The following is a 19,070-nucleotide window of genomic DNA, read 5'->3' on the forward strand; positions in this document are numbered from 1 at the left end:
CATCAACCCAACGTGTAAAAAACATTAAAAGAGCAATTTAAATCTTTTCTGAATTCTCTTGACAAAGACCAAAGGGAATCCATTCATGACACCCTGTAGAACTTCTTAAAATAGTCTTTCCTGAATTCTCTTAAAATCTTACACACACTGCAATGTGTGTGCCCCTTTTATAACTTCCCACAACTCTTCCCCCAGATTGGGCATTGCTGACTTTTATATTTCTACTCTTCCTTCCTCACCTCCTGATCTCTTCCTTTAACTACCATCTGCCCATTTCTTTGTGTTTTGTTGTTATTTGTTTTTTTGAAACAGGTTCTTGCTTTGTTGCCTACACTGGAGTGCAGTGGTGCAATTACAGCTCACTGAAGCCTTGATCTCCTGGACTCAGGTGATCCTCCTGTCTCAGCCTCCCAAGTATCTAGGACTACAGGCACATGCCACCATGCCTGTCTAATATATATAAAATTTTATTTTTTATAGAGATGAGGTCTTGCTATGCTGGTCTTGAACTCCTGTGCTCAAGCCATCCACCTGCCTCGGCCTCCCAAAGTGTTGAGATTACAGGTGTGAACCACTATGCCCAGCTTGCCCATTCCATTGTAAAGCAATGAAGCCAGTCTGAGAACAACAGTTTCACCTGATCTATTACCCCAGTTCTCCAGGAAACGATCTGGCATAGATCCAACTATCTTTTAATGTTCAAAGGAATAGAAGAGCCTGCTAACGCTCATTTATTAATTCGCCTAATTTTGGATACAAATAGTAAAATATATAAGCCTGTAATCTTTATTTACTCTTGTGGTGTAAATATTCACCCATCAGGAGCCCCAGGAGGACCCTGTCCTGGAGCTGAGGGTAAGCCCTGAAGAATATGCAGGCTTGGAAGGGGAGCAGAGGGAGGCAGGAAGGTGGTGAAGGGGGAGGTGTTGGGGAGAGGAGGAGGGAGGCAGAGAGAAGAGGAGAAATTCCTCTGTCTCTGTCTCTCTCTGATTCACTCTGTCAGTGTCTCCTCTGTCTGTCTTTTGTCTCCATCTCTGTCTCTGATGCTCTTGCTCATCCTGTGGGGAGAGAGGGCTGAGGAGGGAAGAGTGGGATTGGGGCGGGGGACAATGGCAGTGCCAGGTGGAGACTTGTCCTTCAGAGTCCCCAGACACCCCTTCCTAAGCATCTCTATCTCTCTGCATCTATCTCTGATTCTGCCTCTCCCCCAAGACCCACCATATTACTCTCTTTCTCTCTCTCAATCACTCTCTGTTTCTTTCTTTAATCTCTAATTCTAAAATCCAAAAACCTTTGAGACAAAGTTTTCTTCTAATTCATTTGACAGAAAAAACCTGACCCAAACTTTGTGATGCTATTTATTGTCTCTATAGAGCCCACTTAGTGTGAATATTTTTGTATTTTTATATTTTATGGAGAAATATTAGTAAGACAATAGTATAAGTGATATGGTTTCTAAAGTCCTATAGTTCTGAATCTGAAGTAAGCCATTAAGATGAAGAATTACTTGCAATTATTTCCTGTAATACATGTTCTATTTTATGTCCATATTTATGTAGGGCTAAACTAGATTTTCCTTCCTTTTTAAAATAATTTATTGTACAAACATTCTGTATATAAATCTATAAAAGATACTGAAGAACATGCATTCCTCAAGAAGTAGAACATGGGGTATGTAAATAAAAATTATTCAAAGCTTAGGATTAGCAAAAAGAGATCACTGGAGTAAATGCTCAATGGATTCCTGGGCATTTTCTAGCAGGCCCTCTGGAGATGATCTCTGACTGACTTTATTTAAAGTTCTTTTAGAACTCTTTAAGCATAGAGGTTAATTTGCAGTAAATTTATAGGAATGCAAATGACTCTTATCTGAGAACAATGCAAATGATTCCTGGTTATAGTAGAGCAAATATATTTTGTCCATTTTGTTTTAATTACTTTCCACCAGGTAGAAAAGCTAATTGCAAATATTACAGTTTGTTACTCTGTAGGATATTAACCAGTTTTGTATCTATTGGAAAGGTCACTTCAGAATGCTTTTGACTGACTGACTATATGCATTCCTATTCCTCAAATTCTTCTTTGAACCAGTTGTAGCATCTGAATGTTTCCTCATTAATTAATGAGTTGAATTAAATCTTTGATATATATTCATCTTATATTTACTTGTGTCATATTTTTAACTTTTTGAAAATCATGTCTTAGAGGGTGCTTACACTATAGGAATTTGCATATTAGTTAAGAAAAGATAAGACATAAAAAATCATAAGGCAGCATGTGATAAATGGCAAGTGATCATATGGATTTTGGGGGCTGTGGTAGAGTTTCTGGATGACAGTTTTTTTCATTTATTTCTGCATTACTTTCATTCATTTAACAGACAACTGCTTTGCAATATGAAGCACCGTGGAAGGGAATACAAATACAAATCAGACACAAACCCTGTCCTGGAGTTAGCAGTTTCCTGTGGGAATAAAGGGGAGGAAAAAAACACCTTTCCTCTACCATATTGTATTCAGTGGCTGGGACCTGCAAATTAGACTAAGACAGATTAACAGGAGAGAAAATTCTATTTATACATGTAACTTGAGTACATGTGGGAAAACTCAGTGATAAGTAATTCAAAAAGTTGGTTAGAATTGGGGCTTATACATCATCTTAATAGGTGAAGGTGGGGAGAAGAAAGGCACTTACAAGAAAACAGATTATTGGCCGGGTGCGGTGGCTCATGCCTATAATCCCAGCACTTTGGGAGGCCAAGGCGGGTGGATCATTTGAGGTCAGGAGTTCAAGACCAGTTTGGCCAACATGGTGAAACCCCATCTCTACTAAAAATACAAAAATTAGCCAGGCGTGGTAGCGCATGCCTGTAATCTCAGCTACTCGGGAGACTGAGGCACAAGAATGGCCTGAACCTGGCAGGTGGAGGTTGCAGTGAGCCAAGATCATGCCAAGACACCATCTCAAACAAAAAAGAAAACAGATTATTTTTTGGAAAGGCAAGTGGGTTTTCAGGGGAAAAGTAGGAAATTAGAAAGTTTTGTGATAATGTTTGTGTATATAAGTACGAGTGTTCTTTCTGTCTCCTTCAAGGCCATGAAATTTCTCTGGAGAAGGAATTTGAAATATGTTTTACTCATGCTCTCCCCTCCAGGATAGACCTACCCTGAAAAGGAATTTATGGCAACCTTATCTCCAAGGTTGCTGCCTTTAGTCAGATAAGGAAAGCCCCCAAAATCTCTGTTCCTTTCCATATCACTGAATCTCAAATATCTTCAGCTTAAAAGAATCTTAACGCCAAATATTTGGGGGTGGCATATCCTGATTCCTTTCAGGAGAAAGACATAGATTAATCATCACAAACAGTAGTAATGGATGGAGAAGAGAAGAACATTTGCAACCTTACTGTGTCCTTAATGCTTTATTATTCTATTAAAACCTGAAATTTTGTAGGAATTTTTCCCCAGTTTCATAATTACAGCACAGAGAACCAACCAAGGGTTATAGTAGTCACAAGCAAGATGATATGGGATCCCTCAAAACAATTTTACATGCCTTAATTCCTGAGACCAAAGCATTCTCCTCACCTCTCTCTTTACTCATTTGGTTAACTCTGGACTCAGGCCAAATCCTGTCCCTGGAAGAGCCACAAAGTAGGAAGCCTGGGTACAGGCCTGGCAAGCGAGAACAATGTGTCACTGCAGGACTTTGGAGCTCTCAGCTTTGGAGTCAGTTAAGACCAGTTCCTTGCTGGGAAGCCCTAACTCTGGAGGGACAGAGACAGGTAAGGTTAGTTTACTTCCTTGAGCTTTCGTCTTCAGTGCTGCTTACAGCCTTAGGATATCTGGTATTCAGGAAAGGAGGATGAGGTAGCATTCAAAATTGTGTTCTACCTGGGCAAGAACCAGGGATTGACAGCCCGTTCTCTTTCCCCAGTGCTGGCCAGAGTTACAGAAGTTGGACTGTAAACATTGGCAACTATTGACAGAAGTCAAGGTCATGGCAAGACCATTTGGCCCATGTTTGTTGGGGAAGGATAAGCCTGCGTTTCAAAAAGACTGGTCAACTGGATTTGCATTCCCAGAAACCAGGAAATTTCTGAAACTGAGTTTTAAACCTGGCAACTCTTTTACCATCCCTTTGTATTTTTGCAGTTCCTCCCTATACCAGCTTCCTTACAGCTGTTCTGATTTCCTGTCGTAAGATTTTTTCTTTTCATTTTCTCCAGGGAGGGTAAATCAATATAACCTCTTCTCTAGAGAGGAGGTGGTTAGGTTGGTCTTAAGCAGTGTTAGAAGATCTATTTTTTTTCAAACCAGGTGTCTGAGCTGGGTGAATTCCAGCCTGGGGAGAGGACTTTGATCACCAGATGTTTTTTTGGTGTGCGTGCTGTCTTATGGTTGCGTGGCGAGTTTCTGCTTCAGATGGTACGTATGCTTTCCTTCAACTCAGCTTACAGGCATTTGGTGTCCTTTTGCGGTGTTTTGAGGAACTCTGTCTAGGGCTTTAAGGAAGTTTACATTTATAATATCTTTATTCTTCTATTGAAAAATCTCAAATTGGCCTAATGCTCTGCACTCAATAGGAGCTTAGTGTACATTTAATGATAACCCTGATCTCTGAAGTGGGTGGTTACTGTTTTTTTACTTTCCCTTTCTGTTCTGGGAGCAAAAAGAGTACCAATTTCAAAATCCTGGGAGGTCTTACTTGTTATAAACTCCAGGATCGCTATTTGTGTAGGGGACTATTTGTTTAGAAGTGGACAACTTGTGGTTGAATTTGAGTAAAATTCCTGTTATACTTTTGAAAATAAAACTTCGGAATTCCGGCCGGGCGCAGCGGCTCAAGCCTGTAATCCCGGCACTTTGAGAGGCCGAGGTGGGCGGATCACGAGGTCAAGAGATCGAGACCATCCTGGCTAAGACAGTGAAACCCCGTCTCTGCTGAAAATACAAAAAATTAGCTGGGCGTGGTGGCGGGTGCCTGTAGTCCCGGCTACTTGGGAGTAGAATACAGAGTACTTGGGAAGAGCACAGGAATCAGGATCAATAATCCAGCAAAAAGACATGAGAATGGGGAAATCTAATAAGGGTTCTCTGACAGCACATGATATGCCAAGTGAATCTGTTTTCTTTTTTCTTCCAGCAGAGCACTGTCCAGAGCTTCCTCCAGTGGACAATAGCATATTTGTCGCAAAGGAGGTGGAAGGACAGATTCTGGGGACTTACGTTTGTATCAAGGGCTACCACCTGGTAGGAAAGAAGACCCTTTTTTGCAATGCCTCTAAGGAGTGGGATAACACCACTACTGAGTGCCGCTGTAAGTTAGATCTTTCTGTATCTTTGCCCATATTGATATCCTGTTTTACTCCTTCACATCCTACTTCCTATAGGCTGTGGTAAAACTTTATAAGAAAACAAAAATTCTCAATTTCTAGGAGACCTCTTTTAAAGCACTCCAGTGGAGGAGCTTCTCTTGGAAGCTCTATGATCAGATCTTGATCAGTATTAATTCAGTTGAATTAACAGAATCAATTCCCTCTATGGGAAAGAAATAATTTCTTCCAGATATTAGAACTAATTTTTTTTTGCTATAATTTGTTTAACCTTATATTGCTTTAAAAATGTTTATGTTATGGAAAATTTAAAATGTATACAAACGACAGAAGAGTCAAATTCACTCATATAGACTCATCACATAATTTCATCAATTATCCACACATGATAATCTTGTTTCATGTATATCCTCTTTATTATTTTGAAGTAAGTGCATTGTATCATTTTATTTCACCTATCATATAACTTTTGAACTGGGAATAGTTTGTATTCTCAGTTTACCAATGTGATAATTGAGATCCAGCTGACTTGCTCAAGGTCACAAAACTCATTTCTGGTATCCTCTGTGGAGATGGGGAATAATTAATCCATATCCTATTTATTACTATTATTTTTTAAAGAATAGTTGCATTAGTTCTCTTGTATACCTAGAGTAGAGCACACCGATATTATTATCCTTCATTCATATAACCAAACTCATATATCCCTGTGCATTCTCTCCTGTTTTTTTCCATGCCATGGGAAAAAGCACAACAAAATAAAAAATGCTAAGTAAGTGTATATTTGGCTGGTTGAAAGGGAAGGAAATACTTGCTTCAAACATAGTCTCACTATTTTGAGCCATGCTTAATATAACAGTACAATAAACATACGATTGGTAACTTTCAGTTACGTGATTAATTACTTTCAGTTGCCAATTCATGTTGTTCTTGTGCATGACAAAGCTCTTTTGGGCTGTACTTAGGTCAATCTCCTCTTTTTTTCATTCTGCATTGATATGGTAGTACCATGTACTTCACTCAATTAAAAATGTGCAGTATTAACTCTAATTTGCTGTTTTCTCACTGAAGACTGAGGAGGTCTGGCCTTTGCTGTGTTGGGCTTCAGCTTTGCCCTTTCAGCTTATTGCTTATTTTCTTCTTCAGTGGGCCACTGTCCTGATCCTGTGCTGGTGAATGGAGAGTTCAGTTCTTCAGGGCCTGTGAATGTAAGTGACAAAATCACGTTTATGTGCAATGACCACTACATCCTCAAGGGCAGCAATCGGAGCCAGTGTCTAGAGGACCACACCTGGGCACCTCCCTTTCCCATCTGCAAAAGTAGTAAGTACAAGAGAAACCATCAAGGATCCCCAAAATACTGATTAGTAGTCTAAACTTAGACATTTGCCACATCCCTGGGATGCTTTTCTCTTTTTTTGTATCAGAGACAGGCTTAAGATCTAGCAGACAGCCATGAAACAAGTGGAGCTCACAGAACCAAATCTCACCTCAAGAGAATACATTCCATTGCAATGAACAGCATCCAAAGCACACATTTTTCCTTCTCAGATAGGGGTCCTGTCCTACTAGGTGTAATGTAGGGTAGTTTGGAGCATCGACTATTTTATTTCTTAATTTCAAGACAGTGACTTTGTTTGAAAAGTAAACACAAAACGGGAAAAAGATCATAACTCATCTATTGCAAAATTATCTACAAGAGGCTAAAGACCCTCTTTCTATCACTACAATTCATATCTCTCAGAGTTAGTAAATTGGGTGTGTTTATTTCATGACTTTTTCTTATGTTTATACAGACATTTAAAACAAACACACACAAATAAAATATTTAAATTAAATAAGCATTAAATGCCATTTTGTGTGTATGTATATATATAAATATACCTATAGAAAAGGGACTTGCTATACATATTTTTAAATTGCTTTTTTTCATGTAACTATATACATGGCCACTTTCCTACACCAGTCCATGTAGCTCTATTGCCCGCTATTTAATAACTGCATATGTGTATGTCATAATTTATTATATGGCTCCCATATTATTTTAATATTTTTTATATTTGGAACAATGCTGAAATGAATATTTTATACACACACATATTCTTATGTCTACGTTGTTATTTCTTTCTTTCTTTTTTTTTTTTTTTTGAGATGGAGTCTTACTCTATTGCCCAGGCTGGAGTGCAGTGGTGTGATCTCGGCTCACTGCAACCTCTGCTGCCCAGGTTCTAGCGATTCTGCTGCCTCAGCCTCCCGAGTAGCTGGGTTACAGGTGCCTGCCACCACGCCCAGCTAATTTTTGTATTTTTAGTAGAGACGGGGTTTCACCATCTTGGCCAGACTGGTCTTGAACTCCTGATCTCGTGATCCACCCACCTCGGCCTCCTAAAGTGCTGGGATTACAGGCGTGAGCCACCGCACCAGGCTACTACATTGCTATTTCTATAGGATAGATTCCTAAAATGATTGCTGGATCACAGGATGCTATTATTTGCAGAATATACTTCAAATATCCAAGAAAGTCTACTAAAATATTTAATATATACTTGGACACAAAATAAATATTGAAAAAAATCAATGTTTTCATTTTCTATTAATAATTGTTAGTTGAATTTGAAATGTAAAAATAATTCGATTCACAAGATCTATATGAAAATTTACTGAAAGATATAAAATAAGACTTGAATGAAAGAAAAGACATGCATGATCCTGGATGGGCAGACTTACTATTACAGTGCAATGCCTCCCAGGATTTTAAATTCAAAAATATGAAAAAAACATTAATTAAAGAATCTCATCCAGTAGGATACACATCTAACATTGTAAATATTTTTGGGAAAATGATGAATGATGTATACATTTGACTGGATCAAAGGGAAAGGAATACTTGCCGTATTAGATAGTAAAAAATACTACAAAGTTACTATGAGCACAATATGGCAAACTGTAGGTACTACAAATTATATATCATTAAAATAGCAAAGTATAGGTACATATAAGTAGAACAGATTAAGTCAGGAGGAAAAGTCTATTCAATAGTGATGGAATAATTATCTATTTGGAAGAAGACAAAGTTAGGGCTCTAGCTCACACCATATTCATAATACATTCCAAATGGATTTTAAATATATAACTATAGAAAGCAAAATTATTAAATCATTAAAAGAAAACATGAGATAATATATTTATTACATTGGGATGGGGAAAGCCTTCCTAAGCAGTTTCATAAAACTCAGGAAGTCATAAAGGAAGAAAATGGGCAGATTTAATTAAATTTTTAAAAGAAAAACTTCTACATACTAAAAGACATCATATTGAATAAAGTATTTGCAACATATTTGATGGTTAAAGAGTTAATGTTTTTAATAAACAAAGATCCCCTAGAGATCAGTAAGGAAAAAAACAACCCAATAGAAAATAAGCAGTTGGGTAAGGACAGGCAATTCCAAAATAATGGCCCTAAACAGCACTTCTATCTCCTGATTATATGAAAGGATATTGAACATTACAAATGATTATAGAACTGGAAATTAAAATTAGATATACATCTTTTACTGATCAGATTAGCAAAAAATGAAAAGATGGATTTAATTTAATACTATTCATGACCTGAGGAAATAGCCATTTACGTCAGTGAGAGTGTAAAGTGCTATCACTATTTGGATGTATTTTGGCAGTAGCTACTAAAATAATAAAAGCCAGGCGTGGCAGTGCATACCTGCAGTCCCAGCTACTTGGGAAGCTAAGGCAGGAGGATAGCTTGAGTCCAGAAATTTGAGGCCAGCCTAGACAACACAGTGAGGCCTGTCTCTAAAAAAAAAAAAATGAAAAAGAAATAATAAAGACAGGCAGTTTAAGAGCACAAACTATATATGCTCTTACATGAGGGAATTTGGGGTTATTTAAAACTTGCATACATACTATTATATATACAGTTAAATTACATGCATATAATAGCATTTTATGTCATTAGCTTGACACAAGTTTAAAGTATTTCCTTATTTCTTCCAAACATTTTCTGGTTTACTCTCTTTTAATTCAGTAGTTTCTATCCTAGCTCTTAACCACAGGATCCCTGTCTTTTTATGTCACTTCATTATCTAAATCTAGGATGAGCTCCCTAGGTTTCTGAATAAACCAGATTCTTTCTGTTTATTCTGTTTACCACATCATCTCCTTCCGTTCAAAATTGTACTCATAAAAGTTACCAGAACTCTGGTGGACTGGAATCCCCCAAACAACTCCTGGAAATTCTTCTTGCTTTCCTCTATTCAGCCTTTGAGCTCAGTCTCTGAGCTTTAAAAAATTACAGTGTATTAACTGCATAAGTAATATTAATACACCTTTGTTGTAGAAAAATATAGAAAATAAAAGACGAAACCAATTACATACAAGCCATCTAAGGATAAGGGCATTAAGTATTTTGGCATATAACTTTCCATACTTTTTTCCTGTGCTTATGTATGTGTAACCATGATTTACAAAAATAATATTATACATGCTCTTTCATCATCTGCTGTTTTTACTCAACCATTTGTTTAGAAGATTTTTATGTTTCAGTAAATATACACCCACATAATCATTGTTAGCCACTATTTTTGATCGACATGTTTAGTGTCCTGTGGTCTCAGAGCTGACTGGGACCTTAGAGATGATATTATTTAACCTGCTTATCTGATAATATTAGGAAGGAAGCCAAGAGGAGCAAAATGGCTTTAGTGCTACATAGCTAGTGGAAGAGCCAGTATCAAGACTCACAACTCCTAACACGTCATCCTGCTTTCTTTCCACAGTTCCACAGACTCGTCCTCTTCCCTTCCAGCCATGTTCTCCCCTATTTCTTTTTCTTTTGAGACAGAGTCTTGCTCTGTTTCCCAGGCTGGAGTGCAGTGGCAGAATCTTGGCTCACTGCAACCTCCACCTCCCAGGTTCAAGCAGTTCTCATGCCTCAGCCTCCCAAGTAGCTGGGATTACAGGTGCGCACCCACGCTGGGCTAATTTTTGTATTTTTAGTAGAGACTGGGTTTCACCATGTTGGCCAGGCTGGTCTCAAATTCCTGACCTCAGGTGATCCACCCCCTTCAGCCTCCCAAAGTGCTGGGATTACAGGTGTGAGCCACTGCTCCCACCTTCTCCCCTTTTTCTGATACTCTCTTTGATATAGTTTGGATGTGTGTTCCTGCTCAAATCTCATATTGAATTGTAATCTCCAGTGTTGGAGGTGGTGCTTGGTGGGAGGTGACTGGATCATGCGGGTGGATTTCTCATGAATGGTCTAGCACCATCTCCCTAGGTACTGTCCTCATGACAGCGAGTGAGTTCTCATGAGATCTGGTTGTTTAAAAGTGTGTAACGCCTCCTCCCTCTCTCGTTCCTGCACCTGTTATGTGAGATGCCTCCCTCCCCCTTTGCCTTCTGCCATGATTGTAAGTTTTCCGAGGCCTCCCCAGAAGCCGAGCAGATGCCAGCACCATGTTTCCTGTACAGCCTGCAGAACTGTGAGCCAATTAAACCTCTTTTCTTTATAAATTACCCAGTCTCAGGTATTTCTGTATCACAATGTGAGATGGACTAATACACTCATGTTTCACAACTCTTATCCACAGGGGATGTCAGCTTCCACTTGAGCTCACACGCTTCATCTCCTCTCTCAGGGAGTTATTTCTTCAGCCTTCACCTATGGCCCAATTTTTCTTTTCTTGTACATTAACAATTAGCTTCTCTACAACTTAAAATTTCTTTCCTTGAGCTCCTGCTGTCAGATAATACTCCCAAATCCCTACTAACTCAGAAGATGGGCTGGGGGAAAGCTCTTTCCCATGGACAAATATGATTTAGAAGAGAAGGAAATGAATGAAGAACAGGTTTCCAGATCCCGCAGGTGTTGCTGTGAGGATGTCAGGTGCTGGCGCAGGTGTTGCTCTGAGGCTGTCAGGTGCTGGCATAAACAGCTGCAATTAGGGGTGCTGTTCATTGAGCGTGCCTGGCCCTCATAACTATGACTTCTATACTCGTTTCTCTCAGGGGACTGTGACCCTCCTGGGAATCCAGTTCATGGCTATTTTGAAGGAAATAACTTCACCTTAGGATCCACCATTAGTTATTACTGTGAAGACAGGTAAGTGAACACAGCCTGTCAAATGCCAGATCTTGCCCCTTGGCAGCATTGTTTTGGGGAATAACCCAGTCTGTGTCCACCTGGTCATCTGATTTCCTACTGCTGCAGGATTCTAAGCTCATTCTGATTTTGAGAGCTGCTTTGGCCCTCTGCTAGCTCTCCTCAATCCCTAGAAGACAGACTGATCCTACTAAAGTATCCTACTTACCCCAATGCAAGTATCTCTTTTTCCTCTCCGCCAAGACAAGATAAATTATTTAAAATGAATGGATTTGGCTGGGCGTGATGGCTCACACCTGTAATCCCAGCACTTTGGGATGCTAAGGCAGGCGGTTTGCTTGAGGCCAGGAGATCAAGACCAGCCTGGCCAACATGGCAAAACCCTTGTCTCTACTAAAAATACAAAAATTAGCTGGGCGTGGTGGCACACTCCTGTAATCCCAGCTACTCAGGAGGCTGAGGCATGAGAATCGCTTGAACCCAGGAGGCGGAGGTTGCAGTGAGCCTAGATGGCACCACTGCACTTTAACCCAGGTGGAAAAGTGATACTCTGTTTTAAAATAAATAAATAAATAAAATGTATGGGTTTTTTGTTTTTTTGTTGTTGTTATTTTTGAGACAGTGTCTCCCTCTGTCACCCAGGCTGGAGTGCAGTGGTGTACTCATAGCTCACTGCAACCTCTGCCTCCTAGGCTCACGAGATCCTCCCACCTCAGCCTCTCTAATAGCTGGGACTACAGGCATGGGTCACCACGCTTGGCTAATTTTTTAAGGTTTTGTAGAGACAGGGTCTCCCTATGTTGCTCAGGCTGGTCTTGAACTCCTGAGCTCAAGTGATCCTCCCACCTTGGTTTCCCAAAGTCCTGGAAAGTGCTGGAATTACAAACATGAATCACTGTGCCTGGCCTAAAATGTATGTTTTTCTAAAAAAAAAAAAAAAAAAAAATCAGAGAATATAAATACTAAAAAACAAACATAGAAGTGCAGAAATATAAAGACTTAGTGTATAGACCCTTAAAGCCCCCTAATTAACTCAGAGTCATGTGGCCTCACTGGCATTTCGATCTCGTTATATACCTTCAATGCACTTTGCAGGCAACTCTCATATTTTTCTGATGAAAAGCAATTGCTCCTTTTTAGCCCCTTCGCTAAGATTTATTTGCAGGTGTCTCTCATTTTCTACTCCTTTTTAGAGCTTAGATGCCAGATGCCTTTTTAGGTTATTGAATGATAAAGTGCTTCTATCACTCTCCCCACCCAAAACCTGGGTGTGTAAACACCTGATTCAGAATTTCTCACTTCTCTATGTTTTATGGGTTGACTCATCACTTGGGTCCTCTCCTACCTCCAGGAAAATGGTTTTACTTTGAACTGCTTTGTAATACCGAGATAACTTAAGCATGCATTGAGGCTCAAGGGCAGGGAGGTGGATTCCATCACAGCATGAAATACTGAAATACAACTACACAAAACCAGTCTCCATTACCCAATTCAGAAAGTGGAAAAGCTAAGCCTTGTTCTAATTTCTGTTCAGGTACTACTTAGTGGGCGTGCAGGAGCAGCAATGCGTTGATGGGGAGTGGAGCAGTGCACTTCCAGTCTGCAAGTTGATCCAGGAAGCTCCCAAACCAGAGTGTGAGAAGGCACTTGTAAGTAGGAGGCTCATATCTGTCTTGTTCACAGCTGGATCTCCAGGGCCTGGCATCACTCCTGGCATATGCTCAGTATATATCTGTTTAATGTGGGACATTTTGCTTTTGAATGGGTTGGCCTTGGCCTGGCTGTAGAAGGGACTCATAAACTATTAACTCACATTTTTATAAATGGAAGTTGGAAGTTCCCATTCACTACCATCATCACAAATACCTCATGAGACCCTGTTGGTAGAAGTTGTTGTCTCATGTGCCTTATAGAGCAGTGGTTCCCAACCTTTTTGGCACCAGGGATGGGTATCATGGAAGATGACTTTTCCACGGATGGGGGTGGGGAGAGTGGGGATGGTTTGGGGATGATTCAGATGCATTACATTTATTGTGTACTTTATTTCTATTATTATTACATTGTAATATATAATAAAATGATTATATAACTCACCATAATGTAGAATCAGTGGGAGCCCTGAGCTTGTTTTCCTGCAACTAGAGGGTCCCATCTAGTTAGGAGTGATGGGAAACTGACAGATTATCAGGCATTAGATTCTCATCTGGGAGTGTTGGGAAACAGTGACAGATCATCAGGCATTAGATTCTCATCTGGGAGTGATGAGAGACAGTGACAGATCATCACACATTAGAATCTCATCTGGGAATGATGAGAGACAGTGACAGATCATCAGGCATTAGAATCTCATCTGGGAGTGATGGGAGACAGTGACAGATCATCAGGCATTAGATTCTCATCTGGGAGTGATGGGAGACAGTGACAGATCATCAGGCATTAGATTCTCATCTGGGAGTGATGGGAGACAGTGACAGATCATCAGGCATTAGATTCTCATCTGGGAGTGATGGGAGACAGTGACAGATCATCAGGCACTAGATTCTCATCTGGGAGTGATGGGAGACAGTGACAGGTTACCAGGCATTAGACTCTCATAAAGAGGGGTCAACCTAGATCCCTCGCATGAGCAGTTCACAATAGGTTTCACGCTCTTATGAGAATCTAATGCCACCTCTGACCTGACAGGAGGTGGAGCTCAGGCAGCAATGTGAGCAAAGCAGAGTGGCTATAAATACAGCTGAAGCTTTGCTTGCCTGCCCGCTGCTCACTTTCTGCTGTGTGGCCCAGTTCCTAATAGTCCGTGGACCGGTACCGGTCTGTGGCCCTGGGGTTGGGGATCCCTGTTATAGAGCAAAGCACATAAGCACAATGCGTGAGAATTGGAAAAGTCTCTAAAATTCTTCTAGGCTCCAAAACTAAACAAACAACACTGAACAGATCCATTTTCATTGAGATTCTTCTTTTAGTTCATATTTATTACTGGGATAATATTAATAAGTATATTTAAGCCAGAAAATATAAATGATTTGCCATGTTGAAAACCCAAATCTTTACTTAAGCTAGCCTGGTTCTGAGCCCCCATTCAGAGAGCTAACTGCTGCTCACTGGCTTCAGAGTATATAGCTGGGTCTCAGTCCTTATGTTGTAACTTGTGAAAAATTTTCTTTCTTCAGCTTGCCTTTCAGGAGAGTAAGAACCTCTGCGAAGCCATGGAGAACTTTATGCAACAATTAAAGGAAAGTGGCATGACAATGGAGGAGCTAAAATATTCTCTGGAGCTGAAGAAAGCTGAGTTGAAGGCAAAATTGTTGTAACACTACAGCTGAGCAGATGTAATAGAAATAAACCTATGAATAAATTTTCTTCTTGGTTCTGAAATTGGTTTCAGATTTACCTCTTATTGGGCTGAAATTGCCAACAGCAGTTGTATAATGCACCATGTGTGTGTGTGTGTGTGTGTGTGTGTGTGTGTGTGTGTATGTGTGTGTGTGTGTGTGTGTGTGTTGTTCTCAGAATGTGAAAAGGCCAAATGTAGTGGTTGTCTAAGGCCAGAATTAGCAACATATTATTGGAGAATAGAGGGCTTAATTTCCAGTCTGTAAGGAGAATGGAAAACTCTGATCTCAGCCGAGAGAGTAACTCGTATTTTAACATGAGACCATGAATTATGAAACCAAAACTAACCGCAACTTATGAGGCAAAAATTAACCTTCCATTTTGGAAAAGATGCTTAGAATAGTTACATCCTTAAAAATGACCCACTGGGACAGAAGGAGAGCTAGGACCCAAATTCTCCTCCCAGTCTTGCCCACATCTGGCTTACGGAAACAGGTTTCCAAAGCTGCAGGAAAATTGCTTACTGCCTCTTGAATGAAACCTGGTCCTGCATGATAAATTAGAGATGGTGCAACACAAGTGAATATATTTCTTCTCTTTTTTAGAAACAAAAATTTTATATTATTTTTTACTTACAATTCTCCTTTTTTAGAGGGTAGAAGAAATAAGAATCCTAAGGCTTTCAATCAAAATGTCATACTGAGCTGGCATGACAAGCTTCTCCCACCTCTCGTCCTGACTGCTACCTGAAACACGTAGGATATCTAGATAAAGTGCAACCAAAATATATAAGCCAGCTTGAAATAATGGAAAATCGCTAGGTAAAGTTATGAAGGGGAATAAGAGATGGACTCTTGAGTACCCCAGAGTCTACTAATAGGCACAAGACATGTACACACGTAGCATTATTTTAGAGTGGTTAGAATGAACTAAACATTTTCAGACAACAGTGGGCTATGAGAGCTCAGATGAGAGGAGGTTCACTTCTGTCTGGGAGGAGGAGGCAGGAATATTGTCAAGGAAGAAGTCACAGTTATTTGGGCCTTCAAAAGTAAGTGAGAATTAGAGACAAAGATTAAAGAGCTCATTCCAGTTGGAAAGAATATTTGAGAAATGGAGTAAGACAATAATAAGATTTAAAACCAATTTTTTTTTTTGAGATGGAGTTTCGCTCTTGTTGCCCAGGCTAGAGTGCAATGGCGTGATCTCAGCTCACCACAACCTCTGCCTCCTGGGTTCAAGCGATTCTCCTGCCTCTGCCTCCTGAGTAGCTGGGATTACAGGCATGCGCCACCATGCCCGGCTAATTTTGTATTTTTAGTAGAGACGGGGTTTCCCTATGTTGGTCAGGCTGTCTCGAACTCCTGACCTCAGGTGATCTGCCCGCCTCGGCCTCCCAAAGTGCTGGGATTACAAGCATGAGCTACCACGCCTGGCCAATAATAAGATTTTTAACCAAGTAAATTCATTCCTAGGATTAATCTAACTGGAGGAAAATGATTTGAAATTGAAGCTACTTCTTATTTGTACATATTATCTATCTAGGAGGATCTTATGAGCATTTGAAATGTCTACTCTTAGGAAAATTTTGAATAAATTATGGTACTTTAAATGTAATGCAGACCTATATGGTGATAAATATGAGGAAGTAGAAAATCTTAAAAATACAATCTTAAGTAAAAATAGAATATTTAATAACAAGGGCTTATGATTGCATTTATGTAAAACCTTTATTCTTGTGGGAAAGGATTAGACAATAATAGGCACAGATAAAAACATTTGTCTTAGAATATGAAATTATAAGTGTTTATTCTCTTAAAACTTTTTAATGTTGTAAAATGAATTTCTAATAATAATTTTAGAAGGCATTGCACAGAGGCAGAAAAAATGGGATATGTTTAGGAACTTGCACATAGCCTGGACTGGCCTAGATGAAGCATGGAAATTGGTGAGAGAGAAGGTGGCTGGAAAGATAAGTCAAAGCCAGTTTATGGAGGCTTTTGAATGACGTGCTAGAGAATATACACTTGTTTTTGGTAGGCAGAGAATATACATTTGTTTTTTGGCAGTCAGACCATGAAGACATGGAAGCCTTGCAAACAATGAAGTAATAAGGACAGAACATAAAGAAAGATTTCTCTCACAATGTTGGTTGTAGTATTGGTTGATGAGGGAAAAGAACTAAGAGAAACCAACGAAAGGACTCCTACAATAGTCCATATGGGAGGCATTATCAACCTGAACTGGTTTGGTGGCAGCAGAAATGAAAAAGCAGCAGCAGACACGAGAGATATTGAAAACTTGTATCAAAACAACCTGTCAACTAATCAAACATTGAAGGGTGAGGGAGAGGAAGAGTTCAAAAGTGAATCTGAAATTTTATTCCCGAGAACCAGAGGTCAGAAAAAGCTGGGGTCAGAAAGTGAAGCTTGTTGGCCGGAAATGAGAAATTCCTCTTTGGATGTGCTGAGGGTGAAGTGCTTGCAAGATGTCCAGTGGGGGGAAAAAAAAAACAAAACCTAAGAAAGTAAGTCTTGAGTTTCGGAGAGTAATCAGAAATAATAATGTAGTGCTGGCTAGTCTTCTTACTGGTAATAGTTAAAGCTGTGACAGAAGGCAAGATCATTAAAATTGCGAAGATAATTTTTTTAAAAAAAGAAGAGCCTGAGATATATCTATATTTAGGAATGAGAAGGAGGAAGAGAAGGTAACAGTAACTAAGAAAGAGAAATTAGTTAAGTTAAGGGAATCAGGTAAGTTTAGTGTCATGGAAGCCAAAGGAGAAGAGAGTTTCAGAAAGGAAATGATCAGCAGTGACAAAGGCTGCAGACAGATCCTAAGAAATGAATTAAAGATATTTTGGACTTGGACCTAAGGGCGTGCCTCAGAGAGACATGTCAGTAGAAGAGTGGTAGAAGCCAGATGGGAAAGCAACAGGTGGAGTGATGAATGAGAAAGAACAGGCAGGTAGAACAAGTCACACCTTTGAGAAGTTCAGCATCACACTAAAGAAGAAAGGTGGAATTTGAGGTATTGGCAAAATTGAAGGGACATTTCAGGATGAGAGATGCATTGAAAATGAGGCAGGAAAAGAAGAAACAATTCTCCTCGGAATGAGGAGTGAATAGGAGGGAAAATTTGACATTGATGAAGCTAAGGTAGAATGATTTTTAGTAAAGTAGGAGGTAAGAGCATCTGCTGAGAGGGAATGTGACAATTTGGTGACCTGGAGAGAAAAATCTGCAAGAGTCACTGTGGAAAGTAAACGAAAGGACTTCAATACATTGGAAAACGGTACTTTAAAGAAATAGCAGCTTTAAAGGTGATATTTCTTCCAATTTAGTCTCAAGACTGTGCAATCTGGAATCCTCCTCTATCTTCATTCTGGTCAAATCAGTGTCTCACCTTGGTGACCTAGCGCATGGTTTCTTTACATCTAATATCCTTACCACTTTTATCTAATAATTTCTACCTTTTATCCAAATCTCACATCTTCTGTAGAAACTTCCTTGATTAACTCAACCTGTTGTAGTTTAGTTCCTTTTCTGAAACTCTTCTGGGACTTTCAGTATTTATTACAGAAAAAGTGAAGTTCTCAGAAAGAATTGCCTTTTAATAGCAATCTTCTGAGCACACAAATCTTAACCTTGAGGATTAGTAGCTTAATTGGACTATGTAAGTGCTTGTGGTCTTTTTAGATCTATGCGAGAGGAAACATGGCCGGTCCTTCATTGCGTTCTTCTGAGCGCACTGGATAGATCAATTTTTGGAGGCCCTCTGGTGCCTGACATGTAGTAGCAGTTAACATTTGCTGAACTCCAAATACGTTCTAGATAACTCAGCACATAGTGGAAACCCAATGCATGTTTGATAAATTCCCCACCTTTTGTAATTCCTTGGGGTGGGATAGAGACGAGCTCTGGGCAAGAATATCAGTTTTCAAACTCCAGGAAAGCATACTGGACCTAGTGTCATGGAAAGTGGATCATTTTTGCGGAGGCTCTCTGAACCTCGCAGTATCCAAGGTTTCCAGGCTAGCTGGACTGTGTCTTGCCATAACCCTTATGTGTTTATGAAAAGAAAAAAGAATTCTGGCTTCAAATTCAAATTACCTTTCCACTTAGGGGAAATGGTTGGCAGAGGAGAAAATAAACGATTGCGACATGTTACGAAGAATGAGGACTAGCAAAGAGGAAGGAGCTTAGGTAAACAGTGCTGCTTTATTTCTGCTGTTAATCATTCATTGGGCCCGTCAAAAGTTTCTGCCCATCTATTTCCATC

At 39.6% G+C, this 19,070-nt stretch overlaps 1 protein-coding gene across 9 annotated transcripts; it reads left to right on the forward strand.

The window, feature by feature from the left end:
• C4BPB (complement component 4 binding protein beta) lies at positions 3,698–14,831 on the forward strand. 9 transcript variants are annotated; one of them, XM_005273254.6, is made up of 8 exons: positions 3,698–3,784; positions 3,937–4,199; positions 4,320–4,427; positions 5,146–5,319; positions 6,482–6,658; positions 11,360–11,453; positions 12,988–13,102; positions 14,627–14,831. In XM_005273254.6, exons 3-8 carry the CDS (start codon positions 4,370–4,372, stop codon positions 14,765–14,767), a joined length of 759 nt encoding a protein of 252 aa, XP_005273311.1. In that variant the 5' UTR covers positions 3,698–3,784; positions 3,937–4,199; positions 4,320–4,369; the 3' UTR covers positions 14,768–14,831. The 9 variants fall into 9 exon arrangements, with proteins under 9 accessions (XP_005273311.1, XP_024305232.1, XP_047285591.1 ...); XM_024449464.2 differs by having other exon boundaries at positions 5,149–5,319; XM_047429635.1 differs by having other exon boundaries at positions 3,937–4,427; positions 5,149–5,319.

The sequence above is a fragment of the Homo sapiens genome, chromosome 1, assembly GCF_000001405.40.
Source record: "Homo sapiens chromosome 1, GRCh38.p14 Primary Assembly".
In the NCBI taxonomy this organism is placed as follows: domain Eukaryota; kingdom Metazoa; phylum Chordata; class Mammalia; order Primates; family Hominidae; genus Homo; species Homo sapiens.

Coding starts and splice junctions, on each gene's coding strand:
- C4BPB (XM_005273254.6), top strand. CDS start 4,370: ATGTTTTTTTGGTGTGCGTGCTGTCTTATGGTTGCGTGGCGAGTTTCT. Junction 4,428..5,145: donor GCGAGTTTCTGCTTCAGATG/GTACGTATGCTT, acceptor TTTTTCTTCCAG/CAGAGCACTGTCCAGAGCTT. Junction 11,454..12,987: donor AGTTATTACTGTGAAGACAG/GTAAGTGAACAC, acceptor ATTTCTGTTCAG/GTACTACTTAGTGGGCGTGC.